General features: G+C 50.3%; 1 protein-coding gene and 1 long non-coding RNA gene across 18 annotated transcripts in view, besides 5 other annotated features; one reads left to right on the forward strand and one right to left on the reverse strand.

Annotated features, from left to right (window-relative positions):
- Window positions 1-21,708, reverse strand: part of KIRREL3 (kirre like nephrin family adhesion molecule 3) — a 580,037-nt gene that overhangs the window by 156,229 nt on the left and 402,100 nt on the right. The gene's annotated exons all lie outside the window — the stretch shown is intronic.
- The window catches only part of KIRREL3-AS1 (KIRREL3 antisense RNA 1), a 68,564-nt gene that overhangs the window by 35,760 nt on the left and 11,096 nt on the right, over window positions 1-21,708 (forward strand). The window lies entirely within an intron of this gene.
- Window positions 6,145-6,864: an enhancer, noted in NCBI's record as "NANOG-H3K27ac-H3K4me1 hESC enhancer chr11:126455626-126456345 (GRCh37/hg19 assembly coordinates)". NCBI's record gives its function as "activates a minimal SCP1, AML or CMV promoter by ChIP-STARR-seq in naive and primed H9 embryonic stem cells {active_cell/tissue: H9 hESC(naive and primed)}" and the evidence as "EXISTENCE:reporter gene assay evidence [ECO:0000049][PMID:30033119]".
- Window positions 6,865-7,585: an enhancer, noted in NCBI's record as "H3K27ac hESC enhancer chr11:126456346-126457066 (GRCh37/hg19 assembly coordinates)". NCBI's record gives its function as "activates a minimal SCP1, AML or CMV promoter by ChIP-STARR-seq in naive H9 embryonic stem cells {active_cell/tissue: H9 hESC(naive)}" and the evidence as "EXISTENCE:reporter gene assay evidence [ECO:0000049][PMID:30033119]".
- Window positions 7,586-8,304: an enhancer, noted in NCBI's record as "H3K27ac hESC enhancer chr11:126457067-126457785 (GRCh37/hg19 assembly coordinates)". NCBI's record gives its function as "activates a minimal SCP1, AML or CMV promoter by ChIP-STARR-seq in naive H9 embryonic stem cells {active_cell/tissue: H9 hESC(naive)}" and the evidence as "EXISTENCE:reporter gene assay evidence [ECO:0000049][PMID:30033119]".
- Window positions 12,982-13,511: an enhancer, noted in NCBI's record as "H3K4me1 hESC enhancer chr11:126462463-126462992 (GRCh37/hg19 assembly coordinates)". NCBI's record gives its function as "activates a minimal SCP1, AML or CMV promoter by ChIP-STARR-seq in naive H9 embryonic stem cells {active_cell/tissue: H9 hESC(naive)}" and the evidence as "EXISTENCE:reporter gene assay evidence [ECO:0000049][PMID:30033119]".
- Window positions 13,512-14,040: an enhancer, noted in NCBI's record as "H3K4me1 hESC enhancer chr11:126462993-126463521 (GRCh37/hg19 assembly coordinates)". NCBI's record gives its function as "activates a minimal SCP1, AML or CMV promoter by ChIP-STARR-seq in primed H9 embryonic stem cells {active_cell/tissue: H9 hESC(primed)}" and the evidence as "EXISTENCE:reporter gene assay evidence [ECO:0000049][PMID:30033119]".

The following is a 21,708-nucleotide window of genomic DNA, read 5'->3' on the forward strand; positions in this document are numbered from 1 at the left end:
AGAAAAAACAGGGCAGGGTACAAAGGAGGCAAATGCACCACCTGTGGCCCTAGAGTGGGGAGCATTGAGGTTGGATGGCATTTGTATCTAGAGTTGCACCTGGATCTGGACAATGCTTCCAGGTTACCACTGCTGGTAAGCAATGTGCCCAACCACCCTCTCTGCTCTCATGACCCCCTGCCTCTCTCCACCTCTGCGTGATGTTTTTCTGTTCGCCTGTCTGTCTCCTTGAATTGTGAGGTCCTTAAAAGAGGGAGCCAAGTCATTTTTTTTTTTTGAGGCAGAGTCTTGCTCTGTCACCCAGGCTGGAGTGCAGTGGCACAATCTTGGCTCACTGGAAGCTCCACCTCCTGGATTCACGCCATTCTCCTGCCTCAGCCTCCCGAGTAGCTGGGACTATAGGCGCCCGCCACCATGCCAAGCTAATTTTTTGTATTTTTAGTAGAGACGGGGTTTCACCGTGTTAGCCAGGATGGTCTCGATCTCCTGACCTCGTGATCCACCCACCTCTGCCTCCCAAAGTGCTGGGATTACAGGCGTGAGCCACCACACCTGGCCCCCAGTCATCTTTTAACACCTGGCACTTGTCACTGTGTCTGGTCCACAGTAGGAATTTAACACATACTTGCTGGAGAGGCCAGTTACGGGGCACAGCTGAAAGCATAAAGATGCACTGTATAACATTTCAGCCCCCAGAGGACCCACAGTTGGGGAGACAAAGGATAGCCAAAGACACCATGGCTGGGCTGGCCAGGGAGGTCTTCGTGGAGGAGGCTGGACTATACTGGGCCACCTAGAATGCTGGGGACTGGTGAACCGGACAGCAGGAGGACATTCTAGGAGGAGGAATGGCTTGAGCCAAGGGTTCAGGTTGCGATGGGCAAGGGGGTCCCTGAGTGGAAGGCAGGACCTGTGCAGGGAAGTCTAGAAAGGTCAGTGGAGGCATACCGTGGAGGGCTTTGAGCACAGAGGGTGGAGCCTGGAATTTCTTCTCCTGTGATGGAGCCTCTAGTTCGCCCTGGCCCAGCCCCATGTGCTGTCTGGCACATTTGTGCACTGCCCTCCTGCAGGAGGGGGCCTGGCACAGTTTCTGTGCACCCTGGACAAGCAGGGCCACGTGTGGGCCAGGACTGCTCTGCCCTGTCTTCTCCTCTGATTCAGGAAGGAAGAACTTGCCCTGGACTCTGTCTGTCTAAAATAACCTCCCCTCCCCATCCCCACATGGCCCTACCTGTTCCCGGAATTTCCTGTTTTTTTTTTTTTTTTCTTCCTTGACTTTACAGTCTCCGGGTTGCACTTGAATCTCAATGGCATCATCCCCTTTCAGTCTTTGCATGTGCTTCATAAAGAAATGACTCTTTTGTGCAGATCCACTGCCTATGGTGAAGTAGGTGCTCATGTAAATGCCAGGTCCTAGCTCTGGAAAGGGTTAGACAGCCCTTCTCAAACCATGCCTGCAATGCCAGTTTAAAGAACATGGAGGCAGGACAGCAGCCATGGGAATGAAGGGTGGCAGATAAAATCAGTGCCCCAGAAGCTCTGGGGCCTCCTCTCATTGATTAAATTTTCAAATATAATTTTGCTATAGTTAGTGGGGGGTTTAGAGCTGGTCACATTATATTGAATTTTTTTTTGAGACAGAGTCTCACTCTGTTGCCCAGGCTGGAGTGCAGTGGTGCAATCTCAGCTCACTGCAACCTCTACCTCCTGGGTTCAAGTGATTTTCCCACCTCAGCCTCCTGAGTAGCTGGGGTTACAGGCACCCGCCATCATGCCTGGCTAATTTTTGTATTTTTGTAGAGACAGGGTTTCACCTTGTTGACCAGGCTGGTCATAAACTCCTGACCTCAGGTGATCTGCCCTCCTCAGCCTCCCAAAGTGCTGGGATTATAGGCGTGAGACACCGCGCCTGGCCTATATTCAATTTTAAAACTTTCATTTATTTTTAAAATTGAAACTAAAAGTTGTAGATCTATTTATGGTATACAAGACATTTTGATAAAAGCATACATTGTGGAATGAATACATCAATGAATTAACATATCCATTACCTCACATATGTATCATTTTTTTTTTGTGCATGGTGAGAACATTTAAAACCTATTCTCTGAGCAATTTCCAATTATAGGATACACTGTTATTAACTGTAATCACCATGTCCTGTAATAGACAGGAGTCTCCTCTTGAACCAGGGTTATGTCTCAGAACCAGAGTAGGAGGAGAAGCACCTCACACACGAGAGGCTCTGCTGTCCTGACGTGGCACGGAAGGGAATGGAAGGGACAAGGGGAAGGTGCTGGAAAGGGGCCAGCTATGAACTGAGCACAGGTAACAGACCACACCTGACCTCCTGGATCCCTAGTTACACAAGGGCATGTATTCATTGTTCCATTCCACAGATGGGAAAACAGAGACTCCTGGGGCTTAAGCAGCCTGCCCAGGGTCACACGGCTATGTGACAGAAGGGCTGGAACCTAGATCCTCCCACCCCAAAGCCAGGCTCCTCCCTGTGATCTGGCCCTGGTTTTGCCTGTGTGATTCCTCTGGCCTTACTGGGTGATACTGAGCCAATCGTGGAGCCTCTCTGGGCTTTTGTCTTCTCATCTCTCAAGCGAGGGGCATACTCTCAACTGAGCATTCTTTGCATGGCCTGTCCTCTCAGTCAGGCCAGACCAGGACCAGCTCCTGCCATTGTGCATTGCAAGGATGCACTGCTTGCTAGTGGGCCTGAGATTCACCAGTGGCAACACAGAGGTGCCTTCACCAGCCTTGCTAAGCTCTGGTTTGTGTTTCTGCCTCTGGTGTTTGGTATCAGAACGCATTCCCCTGATGCTGCCGGAAGCAATAATCCAGACACGGTTCGGGGGTTTAGTGGAAATCCTCTGCTATAGCGGAAGAAAATGAAACCCAGTGAAGCAAGGATTTCGGCAGATGCAAAAATCTGCCCATTTACCTCCCCAGTCTGAATTCCACGGCAGGGACAGCTGAGAAGCAGGCGGATGGATGACCTTAGCTGCAGGTCAGGTGGGGAAGGGGTGAGAACTGAGTTCAGAAGACTGGGGCTTCTGCAGGTCTAAAGCCCCATGAGGATGGGAGGGGAAGGTCACCGAGTATTTGCAAACATGTTGTAAGATCAGGATTGACCTTAATTGAGTGCTGACTGTTAAAGGCCAGTGCTTCGTGCAGCAACATATTTTCCTTTTAAGCCCTTGCAACACTGACGTATTGAAGAAGTACTAAAGAAGTATTATCCTTAATTATCTGATGCACTGAAGAAGTATTATCCTTAATTATCTGAGGTACTGAAGAAGTATTATCCTTAATATTGGTATGAGGGCTTAGATAGCCTAAGTGACTTGCCCAAAGCTACACAGTCAGTAAATGGCAGAGCACAGCAGAAATGCTCACTGCTAACAGATGGACACTGCTATCTGTTCTTGATACTCAGACCCTCCCATCTCTCCCATCCACACCAGTTACCCACCATCATGGAAACATGTGGTTCCGGATGTGGACAGCTGGCTCCCCGGGCCCCATACCTCCTGTGTGCTCCTGGAGCCTTCTCCATCTGACACACCATGTCAGATGTGGTCCTGGACCTTCCTGCTATCCTCAGCTCACTGTGGACTGTTTCTGAGCCAAGGGTATTGTGTGGTTACCAGGGAAAATATGCCCCCGCTCTAGGCCTGCCAGCAGCTCTAGGGCAATAAGCCATCTTTCTAAAATGAGATTTCCTATTTCAGGGACTCTGAAATCTCCAGTTCTGCCAAACAGCAGGTCTTCTCCTCAGCTTAAGATAGCTGGGATCATGGCTGAGGTTGAGCTGGTCACAGACCATCCCCCACTGAACCAATGATAACACCCTGCCAAGGGCCTCAGCACGAGCACCAGGAGCTTCTCTGTTCACATATTTACATATCAAGATAGAAAATGAATATACGAAGGAGTCTAGCATGAGGAGGACGGGATGCGCTGTGGAGTTAGACACACTTAGGTTCAAATCCCAGCGTTGTCACTTATTAATTGTGGGACCCCGGGCAAGACATTTAACTCCTCTGTGAGCCTGCTTCCTTCTTTGTAAAATGCAAAGAATGATCCCATCTACCTCGAGGAGCTGCTATGGGGATAAAGGAGAGCAAGCCCTCAGTACGGTGCCTGGCACGCAGCGAGGACTCCCTAAATGGAGGCTCCTGCTGTCACGACCCTCGCCCGGGGAAATGCCTGTCTTCTCCATTTAGAAAGTGACAGCTGACGGCAGGCCCGAGGCAGCCAGGTAGGGAGGCTGCCTGTGTGCAACCCGCTGTGGAGGCTGCTGGTGGCTGCAGGCTTTCAGAAGGCATTACAGGCCATTGTTTTAATCAATACTATATTATTTCCTCCGCGGCAACTATCCCCATGTTTATTATGTGTAAATAGGGTTTTTCAATGATGTGAATGTGTTAGCTTAACGTAGCTGACATTCAGCGTGCACAATCTGGTGGCTGCCCCTCAGGACTTCCAGGAAAATGAGATGATGTATCCGTCACAAAGCCATCCTCGTGAGTAAAATTTGAGCAGTGGCAGCAGCCAGGGCACCCGATGAATTCTGCAGGCGTGGGCTGCGTGCTTGAGAAGGAAAACAGACATCAACATAGCCTGGGAGCACAGTCTGCAGGCAGTGTGGACAGTTGGTGCCCCGGAATTAGGGCGTTGGCGTTCCCATCTCTTTGCTGCCATATCTAGATCCTATACAGCTTATTCCAACACCTCTCCATTGCCTGGCGAGCGCCTGTGGATGCACTCTTCTGCCTACTCCTGGAACTTGTCAAGGTTTGCCCTCTCTGACTGTAGCTCCTCACTCTCCTGGACTCTAGGATGGGCCCCTTTCTTCCCCATACAAAGCCCCCAGTAGTCTGAAAACTCATTTTTGTCTATGCTCCTCAGTTCAGCCCAGGCATGTGGGTATGACCGAGCCTGGCTGCAAAGGCAGGCAGAGGGGAGCAAAGGTGGTCTTTCTCAATGTCCCATGTGGGCTTAACTTTCCTCCTCCTGTACCAGGGCACTCAGAGTAACACCACCAATGACACTACCAGCTTCTCTCTGGTGTCTAACTGGACTGAAGGTGAAGCAGGTGGGGTGTCGTTTAGATCTGGGGCAGAGCTTCCCCACTGTGACACCCTTGAAGTTGCAGGCCAGATGCCACTACCACACATGGGTCACTGTCAACAGGCCACAACCCCAATGATGGGCACTTAACTCAATAATACCAGATATCAGACAACTGTGGCTTCATCTGTAGAGCTCTCTGGAGTGCATCATAAAGGAAGTAACCTTTTTCTTTTTTCTTTGCTTTTCTTTTTTTTTTTATTTTGAGACAGAGTCTCACTCTGTCGCCCAGGCTGGAGTGCAGTGGCGCAATCTCGGCTCACTGCAAGCTCCGCCTCCCGGGTTTACGCCATTCTCCTGCCTCAGCCTCCGGAGCAGCTGGGACTAACAGGCGCCCGCCACCACGCCCGGCTAATTTTTTGTATTTTTAGTAGGGACGGGGTTTCATCTTGTTAGCCAGGATGGTCTCGATCTCCTGACCTCGCGATCCGTCAGCCTTGGCCTTCCAAAGTGCTGGGATTACAGGCGTGAGCCACCGCGCCCGGCCTCTTTTTTTTTTTTTTTTTTTTTTTTTTTGAGATAGAGTCTCTGTTAGCCAGGCTGGGGTGCAATGGTGCAATGGCGAGATCTCGGCTCACTGCAACCTCTGCCTCCCTGATTCAAGTGATTCTTTTGCCACAGCCTCCCCAGTAGCTGGGATTACTGGCACTCACCACCACGCCCGGCTACATTTTGTATTTTCAGTAGAGATGGGTTTTCAACCTGCGGGCCAGGCTGCTCTCGAATTCCTGACCTCGTGTGATCCGCCCGCCTCAGCCTCCCAAAGTGTTGGAATCACAGGCATGAGCCACCGCGCCCGGCCAGGAATTAACCTTCACCAGGATAGTTTGTGGAATTTTATCAAGAGGCTTCGCTCCCATCTCCTGCTTTCTTAACAGAGTTTGGAAGCAGCGGACCGGATAGGAAAACTGCTTAGGGTTCCACCCTCATGCCAAGTGGCAGAGGCCCCGGGGGAAGCCTCCTGCGGAACGTGGGAACAAAGGGATGCGGGGCCTAGCACTCTACGCCGGTGTCTGTTCGTCTGTCCAGAAGGCTTGTCACACTCTGGGGGGGCATCTAGCTAAAAGGTACTCCATCAATGTAAACGACCGTCGCTCTCGTTAAGTTCCATCTGTGTGTCTTAAAGCTCCCGCACGGAACGTGATTGGAGTTGGGCTTCAGCTTCCCTGTGCTGCCTGAGACAGAGGAGGGAGATGTTTTTCTTGGCAAATAAATATGATATCATAAGCCCTGGCAGGATTCCAGCCTGAGTAATGGCCGTCTGCCTTCCTAATTCCCTCAGCAGCTTGGAACAGGAACATTACTCTTTACTTCCTCTCTTTAAAAACAAACTCTCTATTGGAGCGCATTACTCAGCCACAGGATCCCTCCCCGGACGTGGCGGCATTCAGATGATGGGAGGTGAGGAATGAGCTCAGATTACAGCGCACATTAGGGAAAACACAGCAAGGCATTTGGCCCAGAAAAGGCACCTGAGGACCTTGAATTAGAGCGGCCACTCCTCATGTGTCCTTGTTCATGAGGAACATAGAGCTAAAATCAATAAAAATCACATTGTTTAGCGCTGCCGTTTCCCTGGTTTAAATCATGAAGGAGTAAGTAGGTAATTAGGTAATCCAGCTCGGACTGGATAGTTACCTTCAAGTACGAAGCGGTCTTGCTGAGACCCTCTCACTGAACGCGAGCTGGGGGAAGGGTCTCGTGGCCTCTCTACTCACAGGAGCACTGCTGCCTCTAAGCACATACCCCGCCCTCTTTCTGCTTGTCATTAGTTCTTCCTAACAACAGTTAGAGGCATCGGTGTTGTTACTTTCCATTTTATAAACCCGAGGCTCAGTGAGACTAATTAGGTAACTCGTTCAGGGCCATAAATTATACATAGCAGAAGTCAGAGTTGAACTCGGGTCTTTTGGCTTCAGATTCAATGTTTACAACGCCACATCAAGCCTCATCACTTTCTCTGGCCTGTGAGGACTTGGGTGCTGCCACTTGTCCCTTTTGAAGTAGCGGATACAAGGTGGCACCGTGAAGGCACTGGGTCAGGAGCTGGGACACAGCTTTGCATCACTTGGGCACTGTTCTGCTGGGGCCTCCTTGGTAACCAACCATCCAGGTGAGGATAAAAACTGACCCAGCTTGTAGAGAGATCTTGAGGCAGGCATGCAGCAAGGGCCCTAAAATTACTGGGAGAAGGGCAAGTCACTGTTCGAAGGCTTGGGATGGTGAATTCAGCCAATAAACGTCCTTTGAACACTTACTATGGCTAAGCATGGGGGCACAACTGTAAACCAGAGAGAGTCCCTGCCTCAGGGAGCTGGGAGTCAGTGGGAGAGATGAATAAACAGGCAACGACGATGCAGTGTGATGGATGCTCCAGTGGAAGAGTCCAGAGCACCGGGATGATGTGTAGGGAGAGCCACTCACCAGACATGGCAGTTCTTGGAAAATGTCCACTGGGGACATGACATCCAAGCTGAAACCCGAAGGACAAATAGGGGACAGGGAGATGAAGACGGGGGCTGCAGAGCGTTCCAGGCTGTGGAGGCAGCGTGTGCAAAGGCTGGGAGGTCAGAAAGAACACACTCTGCTCCGGTGATGGCATGTTTGGTCTGGCCTGGAGCAGAGCTGCAGGGGAAGCTGTGAGGCATGAGGCAGAGAGGTAAGCCAGGAGTAGTTTGCAGACCCCTGGCTGGGCAGCTTTCCAATCTGGAACAGTGGGTCATGGAGCCATCACATTCCCAAACCCACAGCGCTTCCCTCTCACCAACCCTGTAGCCTGCAGTCTTCACTGTGCTCTCGACTCCCCCAGCCTTTCATTGTATGTGGAAGAGGAGCCAGAAATGCACCCAAACTGAAAGAGGAGCACGCAGCACCAATCCCTGAATCAAAATAAAAATCCGGCTGCACTTTATCTCGCTGAAGGACTGTAATCTGGGAGATATTCATTTAACATATTTCTGTCTCTGAATGGCTTTTACTTTTCACTAAATTGAAACCGCAGTACAATATATGTGAATGATTAGGTTGTGTAATACATTCCAGCAAATTTAGATTAGGAATGATTATGACTTAAGTAAAATAGTTGAACACAATTCTTATTGCCATCTATCTTTTCACTTCTTTTTAGTTTTCATGAGAGTGAGTGAATGCAAGGAATGAATGACTCTAAGGAGAGCTGGGCCCTGGTACAGGGAGGGGCAGAGGTCTGTCTTTGGAAGGCTTTAGGAAGAAGGGAGAGGTGGACTGGAAGACTCAGATCTAGGGCTCGGGGGAAAGCATTGGGCCATGAGGTAGATTGGGGACAAGTCCTATATCTGCCGTTTGCTAGCTGTGTGACCTCAGGCAAGTTACTTAAACTCTCTAGTCTTAGTTTCCCATCAGCAAAATGGGCTTTATTGTTCCCCGGCTCATGGAATCATTGTGGGACACAATGAGATCAGGGACATGAGAGTAACACTGGCCAAGAGCTCAGATGGGGAGTCAAAGTCCTGATCAAAGTCTGGCTCTATCACTTATTAGAGCTGTGTGGCCTTGCCCTTTGATACTCAGCTTCTCTGAGCCCCAGTTTCCTAATCCACAAAATGGGAATAAGTGTACTCAGCCACAGGTATCCTTGAAGAGAGGCTTAAATAGGATTTTTTTGCATGTTAATAGTGCTTTGCAAAATGCAAGTTACCTGGGAGGGCTATGCTGGCTGATAGGGGTGGGAATAGGAATTGGGGACTCCCCTTTCCTGGGATAGCGACCTGGAGGGGTTTGGGTGGAGCCTTGCTGCGGGCCCTGAGGCAGGGAGGGGAAGGAGAGGAGGAGTCCTTGCCAAAATTTCCCTTTGGAGTCCTAAGCCTTGCACGCGCCCTGGGCACTCCAATCCTCCTCACTCCACTGCTCTATTTTCCCCATAGCATTGAACATGCTGTAACATTCTATATAATTTACCAATTTATTATGCTTTTGTTTAGAATCTGTTTCCCTGGTTCAAAGGTAAGGCCTACAAGGGCAGGGAGCTGTTTAATCCCCTGATAAATCCCAAGCACCTAGAGCACAGCTTGGCAGTTAGGAGGCATGCTCAGGAAATATACGTCAAATGAATGGATTTATGAGTAGGGCTGGAATTCTGTCTCCTGAGAACAAGTGAGCTGAGGTGGGAAGAAGGTGGCGGTGGTGGGGGGACCAGGGGAGACGAGGGCATCAGTCACTCCAGCAGGGAGCTTGCTGCAGGGAGAAAGAGAGAACAGCAATTTGGGCCGTGAAGCCTGGCACTCATTCTTCAAGGGGGCTGCAAGCCCCCAGGATTTTCCTGGAACCCAGGGCACCCGCACACTAGCTGCCTCTCCCGGTCCCTTCCAGCAACCTGAGGAAATGCCTTCCAATCAGAGCAATTACTGCTGCCCTGGAGCCGCTGCCTCTCCAGGTGTCTGCCTCCTGCGGCTCTGGCTGGAGACAATATTTCTCCTCTGTTCATCACGAGAACAGGGACAACAAATAACACAATGGCAGATGAAGGGCCCTCCAAGCCCTCCAGAGCTGAAAGAGTCTGGGCTGTTGGCAGCGTCTGCGTGCAGGGGAACAGAAGCTACAACCTGCGTGGGGTGTGGGGATGACTGACTCTTCCTGGATGGGGGCACTGTGGCCAGCTTTGTCCGGGAACTGTGCTGCTCCTGGTCCAGGCAGGCAGGGCTGTGGCAGCCGCCCTCCGCCCGCCCACCAGCAGGCAGGGACTCAGGGCACCATGGGCTTGGGAAACTGAGAGAGAGCTATGTGTGTCAGTTGTCTTGTTAAGTTTTTTCCCCTTGGTCTTAACCATGTAGGTACTCTTGTGTTCAAAGGAGGAAATGGAATCTCAGAGAGGCTGAGTCACTGGTGCATAGTAACACAGCTCATCACACAGCAGTGCTGGGATAAGTGCTCCCATGTTTCTGAACCCAAAGCACATCTCGTCGCTCTGGCACTGAGTGATCCGTGACACAGATGTACCTATAGGGCGTGAGTGCAGCCCCTTACCTCTCAGCCTCAGTTTCCCTACTAGTGCACCAGTCACTGAAGCTTGGGAGGTGTGTCAGTGACTCAACCCACTTTATCCTGCCACCTCACCTGACCTTGCTGGCATTTCATCCCTGCCTCCTGGGGCTGGGGCTGGATCTTGCCTAGTGCCCCAGCTGCTGGCTGAGGCTCTACTCAGTTACTCCTGAACGCTCCTCTTTCTACTGTGCCCCATCCTTAGGAGCAGGGGCTCCCTCTGAATACCAGCCAGGGCCACTGCAGCAGAACATGCCACAGTCCTTTGAAAGCTGATCTCAACACCAGTATGGATACTAACTCTGGCTTTCATTGTTGAGCATTTGTTGAGCTCAAATGTAAACCCAGGAACCAGATTCTGAGGGCTGCATACCTAACCATTATACAGGCCTGCCTCTTCCTCATTTGACATGGTCTTTTGACCTTAACTACCTTGGTTATTCGTTTTGTTAATACCCCCTTTCAAATTGATTTCTAGAACTGAACCCAAAATTCCAGATGTAGCCTGATCAAGCAAAGCCTAGAAGAAGAACATCACCTCCCTCTGTTTTAAAAATTGCTTTGCAATTAATGCAGTCTAAGATTACACCCACTTTCCTGGGCCCCCAGCTCCCAGAGTCGACTCCTATGGGGCTCTTCAGCCAGCCCTGTCTACAGGGCTCTGCCTTAAATCCCTAAGTCTTCTAGAAACTAGCTGCTGTGGCAGACCTTTTGTGTGGCTGAGATCTGCAACACCCCAGCGGTCCCCACCTCAAGGGCTGTGTCTGCCGTGGCTGCATGCGGCCCTGCTGTGGCTCACTGTGGACACAGCAGACGAAAGAGAACATGGTCTCAGCTAAGTGGGGGGCTGGAAGGAGGAGAAATGGTCTGTGAAGGTCACTGCCACTGTACGGTGAGTGATCTGTCCCCATTTCAGCCTCAGTGGGAGAGTGATGGAGGGTGTAATTAGGGCTTGAGCTGTGCCTGTGGGGGCTGCTGCACCAGGCTCAAGGAGGCTGGGGACACAGCTGGTAGTCTCTGCCCTCCTAGATACCTTGGTAGCGGGAGCCGCCCTTCTTGGGACCACTCCCTCGCTGGCCATCCCAGCCAGGTCTTCCATCCCTGTTCTCCCCACCCCTTCTCTCCTCAAAATTTGTCCTGTATGTCTCATTTCACCCATTCTCTTGAGGATTTGCCTTATTAGAAAGTGATCTGGCTGGGTGCGGTGGCTCACACCTATAATCCCAGCACTTTGGGAGGCCGCTGAGGCGGGCAGATCACTTGAGCCCAGGAGTTTGAGACCAGCCTGGGTTACACGGTAAAATTACGTCTCTACTAAAAATACAAAAATTAGCTGGGCACGGTGGTGTGTGCCTGTAGTCCCAGCTCCTTGGGAGTCTGAGGCAGGAGGATCGCTTGAGCCCGGGTGGAGGAGGTTGCAGTGAGCCGTTATTGGACCACTGTACTCCAGCCTGGGTGACAGAGGGAGATCCTGTCTCTCCCACACCTGCACCCCAAAAGTGATCTGATTCAAATGCTGTATTAAGATGTTAACATCTAACGACTGGCTGGACGCTTGTAACCAGGTGTATTCCACAGGTAACAATCCTTCACCAAGAGAATCCCTTAACCTAAAGGCATACATCCCTTAGGGTGAAATCCTGTGTGTTCTGGTGGGAGGTTTGTGCAAGGTTGGCCCCGGCTGGTTATAACAGCCAGGGCATTACTGCACATGTAACCTGCACTTCCCAGTGATGAGGAAATGGCAGCTCAGAGGGCTTCTACATCTTGCCCAAGATCTCAGACATGCTCTTCCTGTCCAGCCTTGTGTATACCAGCCATGCTCTGCCTTGCACCTGGACCTGAGGTCAGCTCTGGGGGCCCCATCAGGGTGGTAGTGCTTCTAGAAGGATCTGGCTGTTCAGAGAAAGCTCTCTGTCCTGAAGGCCTGAACTGGGTGAGGAACAGGAGCACTATAAATATTGCTACAATTTCTTCATCACCTGCCATGTCCTAGATACTAAGTTAGGCTCTTTACAGCTCATACCGTGTTGTCATACGTATGACCATGCTCTGTTTTACCAGTAAGGAAACTGAAGTTCAGAAAGTTTAAGTAACTTACACTTGGCCACTAAGCAGGAAGTCCTGGCAGGGGGAAAGGCAGGCCTGAGTCAGCCTGCCTTTGGGCCCTCTCACCACCCCTGGAGCCCAAGCAACATAGGCCTCTCATAGGGCCAACAGCTCCCACCCCTATCACATCCTTCAGGGTGCAGTGCCACGGCTGGGGGTCGCTTGCCTTTGGACTCTCCAGAGAGGAGTCCCTGGGACAGCTGAGGCCTTGCTCACAGCCCTAGGTGGGCCAGGAAATAACATTCCAGGGCCTTTTGTCGAGCCCCTGGGATGGGGACTTGCATGTGCTGGGTGCCTATGATGCCTCAGGCCTTGTTCTAGGTACTTTCCGAACAGTTATTGTCGTAATCCTTATAACAACACCATAACTTAATCCTTATAACAACACAATACTATAAAGGTATCATTGTTCCCTTTATATGGATGAGAAATACTATGTCTTAATCCCTATAATACTATGTCTTATTATACAATGCTAGGTCTGAATCCTTATAACAACACAGTACTATAAAGGTACCATTGTTCCCTTTATATGGAGGAGAAAAGCAAGGCCAAGGGAAGTCTAAAGTTACATAGCTAAGAAAGTGGAAGGAGCTGAGATCTGACAGTTTCCAGCGATTCCAAACTCAGGCTCTTTCTCCTACACCCTGTAGCTTCTCCAAGAAGATTGGGGTCTAAAGGGGCAGAGCTTTCTCCAGGAGCTTCTGGTCCATTGAGGGAGATGGAATACATCAGGATGGAAAGGACCATGGCAAAAAACCCACACAGTACACTCTGCATGCCTGCTGTGCGGGAAACAGCGCGCCTGGGGCCAGAGGGAAGGGAGGAGGGAGCCAGGGTGGGGAGCCCAGGAGGCACATCAGGGGAGGCCTTGGGGAAGATGTGAGTTTGGCACCAGTCGCAGGTAAGGCCTTTTTCTGTGTGCTCTGGGAAGAGAAAGCTATTGAGCTGGGTGTGGTCACAGCAGGGAAGGGCTGGGAGCAAGACACTCTCAGCTCAGGCAGAAAAGGCCTGTTGTTGAGAGAACCGATGCAGGCTGCCGCTGGGAGCAGAGGGCTGGGCGTGGCGTACCTTTCTTTCCTGTGAGGGGGCTAGGAGCTGGCTGGGGTGGGAGGGCTGAGGGGAGCAGGCACATGGTCCAGCCACGTTAGGAGGCTTGCACAAAGGGCTTCTAGGCCTGAAGCCTCCAGCTCCCACCCCGTCAGCCGACTTGCAGATTGTCTGAATGGGTCTCCAATAGGAAAAAAGCCAGGGCTTTGGAGAAACAGATGCTTACCACGGAACCAGGATGCTGTCGTCTGCAGGTCACCCCTGTGTGGATACAGACCGTGGGCCAGGAGGCTCTTCAGAGCAGTTCTCCCACAGCTCATCCTGTAATTGACTGACTCATCGGTCACTGCTTGCGCGCTCAGCCATTGTTAACTGGTGACTTGAAAATTACCTTTATTTAGCACCGTTATCGGGAGGCTTCAGGGGCGCCAGCATTTCCACGCCACCAGCTCTCTCTGGCTGATGGCAGCAAGCAGCCTCATCACACTGTCCCCAGCTCTAAGCCACAGCCACTCCCTACCCACTGTGGGGACCAGGGAGGGGCCCTCGTGCTAAGTGGATGCAGTAGGCAGGCCAGTACCTCCCAACCTGCTGTGACCCCCTCTGGGTACAGGTGGGCAATGAACACCCGGCTGGACCTGTGGCCTGCTGTCTGTTCTCCTCTGACTTGCTTGTCTGCTGATCATTTCTCCATAGCCACGTTGCCCTGTATGCATGAGACAATCTGGAATGGGGGTCATCCATGGGGTCTGGGCCTGCACGGAGTGGAGTTAATTGCAGAACTTGTGCAATTCCTTAATTCTGAGTGAACGTGCATATAAGCCTTAGGGAGAGAGAACATTCATAGCTTTTAGTAGATTCTCAAGAGGATTTGTGAGCCCTAGGAAGCTGGGAAGCCAGGTTCTGAGTCATGGTTCTCAGATCACCCCTCCAGGAAGCTGCTCAGGTTAGCCCATTGCACCGTTGCCATCACTGCGAGACTCAGGGGGTCCAGTGGTGCAATACAACTGTCCCCCTCCACCCAGAGGGCAAGGCCAGGTCTGTACTCTGCTCAGTGGTGGATGCAGATGACAAATCACAAAGAGAGAACAAAGAGATGACATTTGCAGAAACTCCTGCCTTTCACTTTCTGCTTTATTGGGGAAAAGAAATCACATCCCCAGGCTCCCTTCCCTCTGTCCATTGGCACAGTGTATCCTCCTCCCATCCTCCACCCCTCCCTCCTGGTCACAGGTTCTGCCCTGAGATCTGAAGTAAGCTGTGGGACTCATCTACCTGGAGAAGAAGGCAGGCAGAAGAGGAAGGGAGGGAAGGATGGAGGAGCTGGTGAAAACTAACAGTAAGGTGAAGGGTAGGGCTGGGGGCTGGGTCGGAGCCACAGGATTCATGGCGTACTGTGATTTTTTTGTTGTTGCTATGGTCCTTTCTACCTGGATGAATTCCATCTCCCTCACTGGACCAGAAGCTCCTCGAGGAAACTCTGCGCCCTTTAGACTCCAATCTTCTTGGAGAAGCTACAGGGTGTAGGAGAAAGAACATGAGTTTGGAATCGCTGGAAACTGTCAAATCTCAGCTCCTTCCACTTTTTTCGCTGTGTAACTTTAGAATTCCTTTAGCCTCGTTTTTCCTTCTTTCTTTCCACATAGCATGGGGCCTTCAACTGCTGGAGGGTCTGGGCGGTCATTTATCCTTGCTGGGCCTCAGAGGCCTCATGAGTGGTGCCTTTAAGAGTGCAATGAGGCCGCAGCAGAAACTATCTCTAAGGCCAGCTCTTAAATTCTCTAACCCATGCTCCTGGCCAACTCTCCTCTGTCCAGCCGCAGGTCCTCATAGAAAGGCAGAGACACTGAATAGAACATAGAAGGGGTTGTTTTCCTAAAGCTCATATAAAATTCTGAAGCCTCAGCGATGGAACCTGCATTTGGGAGCTGCTCGATCTTTTCTGTTAGCATTTCCGCCACGTGCTTCTCAGCGTTTTGCCCCAGTTGGCCTTCCGCCCCTGGGAGGGGGAACAATGTCTCCTGGTGAAAGTCACTTTGCAGCTGCCCTGGGCCCTCGGACCCTCAGGGGCCTTCTGGGTTGTGAGGCGTGGGGCACCCCGTCCTGAGCGTGCCCTGAAGATGGGCACAGAGCTCCCCCAGCTGCCGTGGCACTGTTTCCATGCAGCTGTGGGGATGGTGACAAGGCCTGAGGGCTGTCAGCCCGGCTGAGAGCACTCAAGAGCCACTTCACCGGCCTTCTTTTCTCTTTCCAAGGCTCTTAACCCACTTGTGGAGGGGGTGGCGGGTGAGGGGCTGAAGAGGGTGGATGTCCACTTTGGGCAGACAAAGGAGCTGCAGTCAGCCTCCTCTCCAGCCTGGCTCTGGAGAAATGCAGTCAGCCTCCCCTCCAGCCTGGCTCCAGAGATCCGGAGCTGAGGGCAGTGTAGGAGCTGGCAGGGCCCTTGGCAAAGTGGAGCCCAGCAGGCTAGTTGTCCCAGGTTTATCGCCCAGGATTGGGGGGCTCTGTGTGGCTCCTGTCTTAGCTGATGACTCAGATCTTGGACTATTTCTCCCTTATCAAGGTCTTCCTCATCCTAAACTTGGCCTTGATTTGAGCCTCTTTAGTTTACCAAGTGTTTACCTGAATTATCTCATTTAATTTCACAGCAACCGGTAAGGGATGCATTGTGAGCATCATCTTACTGAGGACTCAGTGGCTATGACTCAGGACTGTGTCCTTTGCCTAAGGAAGGCCACACAGCTAGTCAGTGGCAGAGATAGGACTAGAATGAGTTCTTTTTCTCCCAGGGAGACCCAGTGGCCAGAAGGCACCTGCAGCCAGGCCACACCGCCCCCTTAGGAGCGATGGGGGACAGCAAGAACTGACAAGCCCTGATGGCATACAAAGCCTCCAGGTGACCAGCAGTGACAGACGCCAGCCAGGACATCCTTTCCAGAACCTTCTCTAGCTCTGCTGGCATAAGCAGCACCTGGTTTTCAAAGGCTTTCTTTGGTGTGTGTCTATGGTCATAAAGAATTGTAATAAACAATGATTAAGGGTCACAATATAGGCTGGTGCTGTGTTTCCTCCCTTAGGAGCAGAGGAAAGTGGTTGAGGTCTCCAAGCAGGTGGGGAGCCCTTGGCCCCTAGGAAGGCAGGAAAGTCTCCCAGGATAAATCTGTCTGTTCTAGGCTCTGGTGAACCCAACGGAAAGCCCTACGAGCCTGGCTGGTGGCTGAGCTGCCTTCTCCATAGGCTGTTCACCAATCTCGAGAGTCACCTGCCATGAAGTCCCAGGAGTTCTGACATCCAGTGTTCATGCCCATGGAGCAACCAACAAGAATGTTCTGTTCACTGCCGCATCCTTAGATCTAACACAGCACCTGGCATATGGTAGATGTTGAGTACATTGTCAAACAAACGTAAGTGAAAGGAAACCTACAAGATCATCATCTGCAGATAAGTCACAAATTATTAGCCCTATTTTTAGAGGTGGTAGTGAGGCCCAGAGAGGTAAAGTAACATGCCCAATGTCACACAGCCAGTTAGTGAGGGAAGTGCCAGACTCTAGGTCTCCTTTCACTATACTCTGTCCCTTCTGAAGGGGGGAAGGTAGGAATGTGATGACCTCGGCCCCAGGGCCAAGATATGTTCTTGCCATGTTTCTTAGCTGCATTGAGTTGACAGTGATCTGATGTGGCTAGGTAATGAAGAGATGGTTTTTCTCTGGGAAGTGACTCTGCTCCCTGACTTCTGGCAGGCATGCGGGAGTGGGGAGGAGGTATCTCTGTGTGGAGCTCTACATTCTGTCTTAGGAGCACAAAGCTCTTCACAGCTCACCTACGCATCTTGAGCCCAGCTTTCTTCTTCCAGGAAGGGGGAATGAAAGCAACTATTAATAAGGTAATAAGAACTGAATCAACCATCCAGCCTGGTCTTCCAGAAGAGTTTGATGGCCTCTAGCCTTGGGCAAGAGAGACAGAGCCCGGGCTGCAGTTTCCTGGCCTAAAGGATGAGTGTCTGCAGATCCATCTACCAGTTTCTAGAATCTTTAAAGCAGCAGGAGGAAGCAGGATGGGGCATTATATGGGCTCTAGTCTCTTTACAAAGTCATTCAGAGGAAAACAGGGACCTAGGAGAATTTTGGAGTGTGGTAGCCAGACAGACCTCTCAGAAATTCCCTTGATTTACACTAGCCATCACCAAAATCCCTGTGTCTCCATTCTCTCCCTTTGGAGGGCCGTTCCCAGCACGAGTTACCCAGAACTACCCACCCAATCAGAGCCCTTGGCTCTCTGTGGCAGGGGGCCCTCTCTGGTCAAGAGCAGCCTCGCTGGTCCTGGAGCCTGGGCCAGAGCCCGCCTGTCACTCTGCAGCTCCGCAATGTCGGGACACCAAAGGGCAGTGCCAGTAGCCCGCTGCAAGCTGACAAGGCTGAGTTCACATCAGTGCTGAGGAGTCGACAGGACCATCTGAATTAAGTGGCCAAGTTTAGTTTTTAATTAAGTCCCCGTGGTCTTTTAAAAAGGTCACTGACGACACCATCTTCTTTAAGGCCAATATGAAAAGACATTCAAAGTCAAAGTTCTGAGATGGGAGCCTTGTAACTTGAAATGTCACAGGAAGAAATTTGGAAACAGGGAAAGAGGAAGCTGGTGGGAAGGACAACCCTGTCACATTCTTTTGCCGTCAGCTTCACAGTTCCCACTTGGAGCTCCAAACTATTTCGGTCTCAAAGGGCAAGTGGTCCCAAGGTTCTCTCGAGTGCCTTCCCCGACAGAGGATTGTGGAGCCTCTTGTTTGCTGTGCCAGTGAAAAACAGAGCCCTTGTGGTCCCTGACACGGAATAAAAGTTGATAGCAATGGGGCAGAATGTGGCAACTTACCCCTGATGGCTGAGGAATTAACAAAAATGTATGCAATTGGTCACCATCCTCTGCACCCATTCCTGTCTTCACTTTTCTACCTACCTTGATCAGTACTGTATCATTTGGAAGTACAGTTCTGTCTAAAACAGAGCACAGCAGCCACTTAAGTCACCCATAGCATCCTATGAGGATTGTACAGTGAGAGCAAAGACCTGTGCCTGGCTTAGACCCCTAAGAGAAGTAGAGACTTGAGGTAATTTGAGCAGAGTGGACCACACCTCCTAGAGAAGAGATTTGGACCAGCCAATAGCTAATGAGCAGGCGCAAGAATATTTTCCTGGAGTTCTTGGCTCACGCCAATGTCTGAAGAGCGGGACTTTCTGAGTGGTGAAGCGTTCAGTGACTTTGCTAGGGTCAGAGGGGTTGGAAGTGCTCAGTAGTGTGTGTCACATTTTGTTCATGTTTGCAATAGGCCATGTAGGAAGTGGAAAGAATTTTGGATTTAGATTCAGGAAATTTGGGTCTTGGGGCAAAGAGTGCTATTTGCCTACCTAATATACATTCTCCCATTTATTTACCATTACAGTACTTTCATTGTTGGTGTGGCAGGTTACCCAAGTTAACCAAATATGGATTTCCTAGCCTTCCTTAAGAAGCTAGAGGTGATTGATGCGAATATTCAGAGATCACTGGTAGGCTTCTTTAAAGATGGCTGATTCACCTGGGAGGTGCACCTCTTTTGTCCTTTCCTCTTGTTTCTTCTTCCTGCCTGAAATGTGGGGCTGATGACTGGAGCTTCAGCAGCCATTTTATGACCATGAGGTATGACCCAAGAATGGAAGCCAGTGCTAAGGATGGGCTGCCCATCTACTCCTGGTCTTCATTTTATGTGAGAGAAAAGCAAACCCCTAATTTGCTTATGCCACTTACTTTGGATCTCTGCTACACCCAGTTGAATGCCAAACTGATACACATTGATTGCCCACTCTGTCATTCACTCCTGAGGGACTTTGGGCAAGTCACTTAATTTTTCTGGGCTTCGGTTTCCTTACCTCTGCAGTGGGAATAATAATTCTGGCTTTGTCTTGCAAGCGTTACTTCTGACCTGTAGGGCTCACTCTTAGGCTTCCTAGAATGTTCTCAACCCCAGTCTGAAGATCACGTGGTTTTTGTGCCTGAGCAGTGGCTGCCTCCCTCCCATTGTTTGGCCAGATAATTGTTCCCAAACTAAGAAATGTGCCTGCCTTCCGACTTCAATGGCTGTTATAAAGTCCCCTTGTGGGCTCCCATTTTCTAGAGACACAATAGCTTTTCCTGGCTTGCCCAGGCCTCACCCCTCCTTGCTGGGTGCAGAGACATCTGCTGTTTCAAGCTGCTAAAAGAGAAGCTTCAAAGAACCCCACATTGGCCCCTCTTAGGGCTCTGACTCATATAAATGTTTCTAGAAATCCTCAAAAGCCTTATTAATCTGTTAAGACATCCCAGAAGCAGGAGTCTGCACACCCAATTTCCACGGCTTTTCAGCTGCTTCCATTGTCTCAGCCGCATTGTCCCTGCTCGGTGTCTTGGCCCCTAATGGACTCTCTCTGAGGCAGGCACGCTTTCGGCTGCACCTGCTATTCCATTGCCTGACTCTTTTCTTCTTCTTCTCTGTTCTCTTTAACTCTTAAAATGAAAAGGTGACCAGCTCTTCCTGGGCTGTTTACTCCTCTAGCTCCCCTGTGCGGGTCTCTGCTTCACCCCCTTTCTCTTCTGGCATGTGGCTGGATCTGAGTCAGAGACATAGAGGCCCACATAGAAAGTAGGGGCCCATTTGTCTTTTCCATCAAATGGAAGCCTCTAGGGGTCTGTCATTCCTCATGCCTAGCCAAGATACCGGGTATCCCCACAAGCCTCTGAAGGGGACTTGCTTACAGCTCTTGCATATAGAAGCTCTAATCAGGCTTCTCCAGAAACTCCCTCATCTCTGGTCCATACAGTAATGACCCTCTGATGTGTAACCTTCACTGTGGTTGAAGGGCCCTGGAGAAAGAGCCAGAAGACCAGGGCTCTGTTCCTGACTTGACCCCAGCTGGTTTCCATTTTCTTAGACTAGCATCAGGGGACTTAACTTGACAGCCAAGGTCCCATGGTGGGCAGCTTGCCAATTACTCCTGCCTCCTGGTTTTCAGACCCCTGTGTGCTCCCTTCCCTTGAGTATGGGCTAGACCTGGTGACTTGCTTCTAACCAATAGAACACAGCGAGAGTGATGGGCTATCACCTCTCTAGTTAAGTTATAAAAGACTAGTTTGCGTGTTCTGTCCTGTTGGCTCTCTCTTTTTCTCTCTGTCTCTCCTTCTCAGATGCTTGCTTTGATGAAGAAAGCTGCTATATTGGAGAGGCCCATGTGGCAAGAACTTGAGTGTAGCCTGTAGCCAGTATCCAGTGGGCAAATGAGGCTCTCAATCCAACAGCCTACAAGGAATTGAATCCAACTGACAAGCATGTGAGTGAGCTTGGAAGCCAACCCTGCCCCAGGTAAGCCTTGAGATGGTAAAGCCCTGACTTACATCTTGATTGCAGCCTTGGGAGAGACCTTGAAGCAGAGGGCCCATCTAAGCTGTGCCCAGATTCTTGACCCACATATATTTAGAGGTAATAAATGTCTGTTGTCTTAAACTGCTAATTTTAATACAGCAAGAAATAACTAATCTAGGTCCTTATTAGCTAAGAAGAAATGTGTTTCTTGCCTTGTTCCTCTGTATTTAAACTCTAGGTCCTTAAACCTTTCATACCCACGAGCTAGCCACTTGGGTTGTGCATGTGCACCACCCAACTCCACCAACCACCCCACTCCAACACTCAAATCTATGGGTGGTGCAAATCCCTTTACTCTTACTCCAAACATACATGATCAGAAAAAATGGAAGAAAGACATAGCTGAAATAGAGCTCCAATGAGATGATTCCTGGTTTCTACTAGGAATATAAGTAAAATTTGAATTTTTGCCAGAATCCAAAGTATTCAAGGAAGGGCTCCTTATACACCTTTGATCATTCACTTCCATGTCTCATCTTTCAAAGCTTGGCTTAAACTTTCCTCCTCTGGGAAAAAAGACCCTGACTTCTTCAGTTAGGGTTACTGTTCCCTCTCCCAGTCACCCATCAGTTTTGTCCATATCAGAGCATTCTATTTTAGTTATTTGCATATTCCCTTCTCTCTCTCACCCCTCCACGGATCTCCTACCCCAGGAAGGTCAGCATCCAGTGACCTTTTCAGGAAATTACCCAGGATTTCACAATCTTAGTCAGAAGCGAAATTTAAAACCCTTTGTCCCCCGTCCTCCCAGCCCCCCGATGTTCCAGGAAGCCAAAGCACAGAGCAATCTTTCCAATCTAGGAAGCAATAAAGAAATGTATTTATGAACCAGCCTCTATCTAAGGGAGAGAATTTATGTCTCTTCATGCTCTTGTTGACAATAATAACTGATTGCTGCATCAATGTGATGCAATATAATTTTAAAACCCTCCAGAACAAGGATCAGAAAACAACTGGCAG

Source organism: Homo sapiens, chromosome 11 (assembly GCF_000001405.40).
Source record: "Homo sapiens chromosome 11, GRCh38.p14 Primary Assembly".
In the NCBI taxonomy this organism is placed as follows: Eukaryota; Metazoa; Chordata; class Mammalia; order Primates; family Hominidae; genus Homo; species Homo sapiens.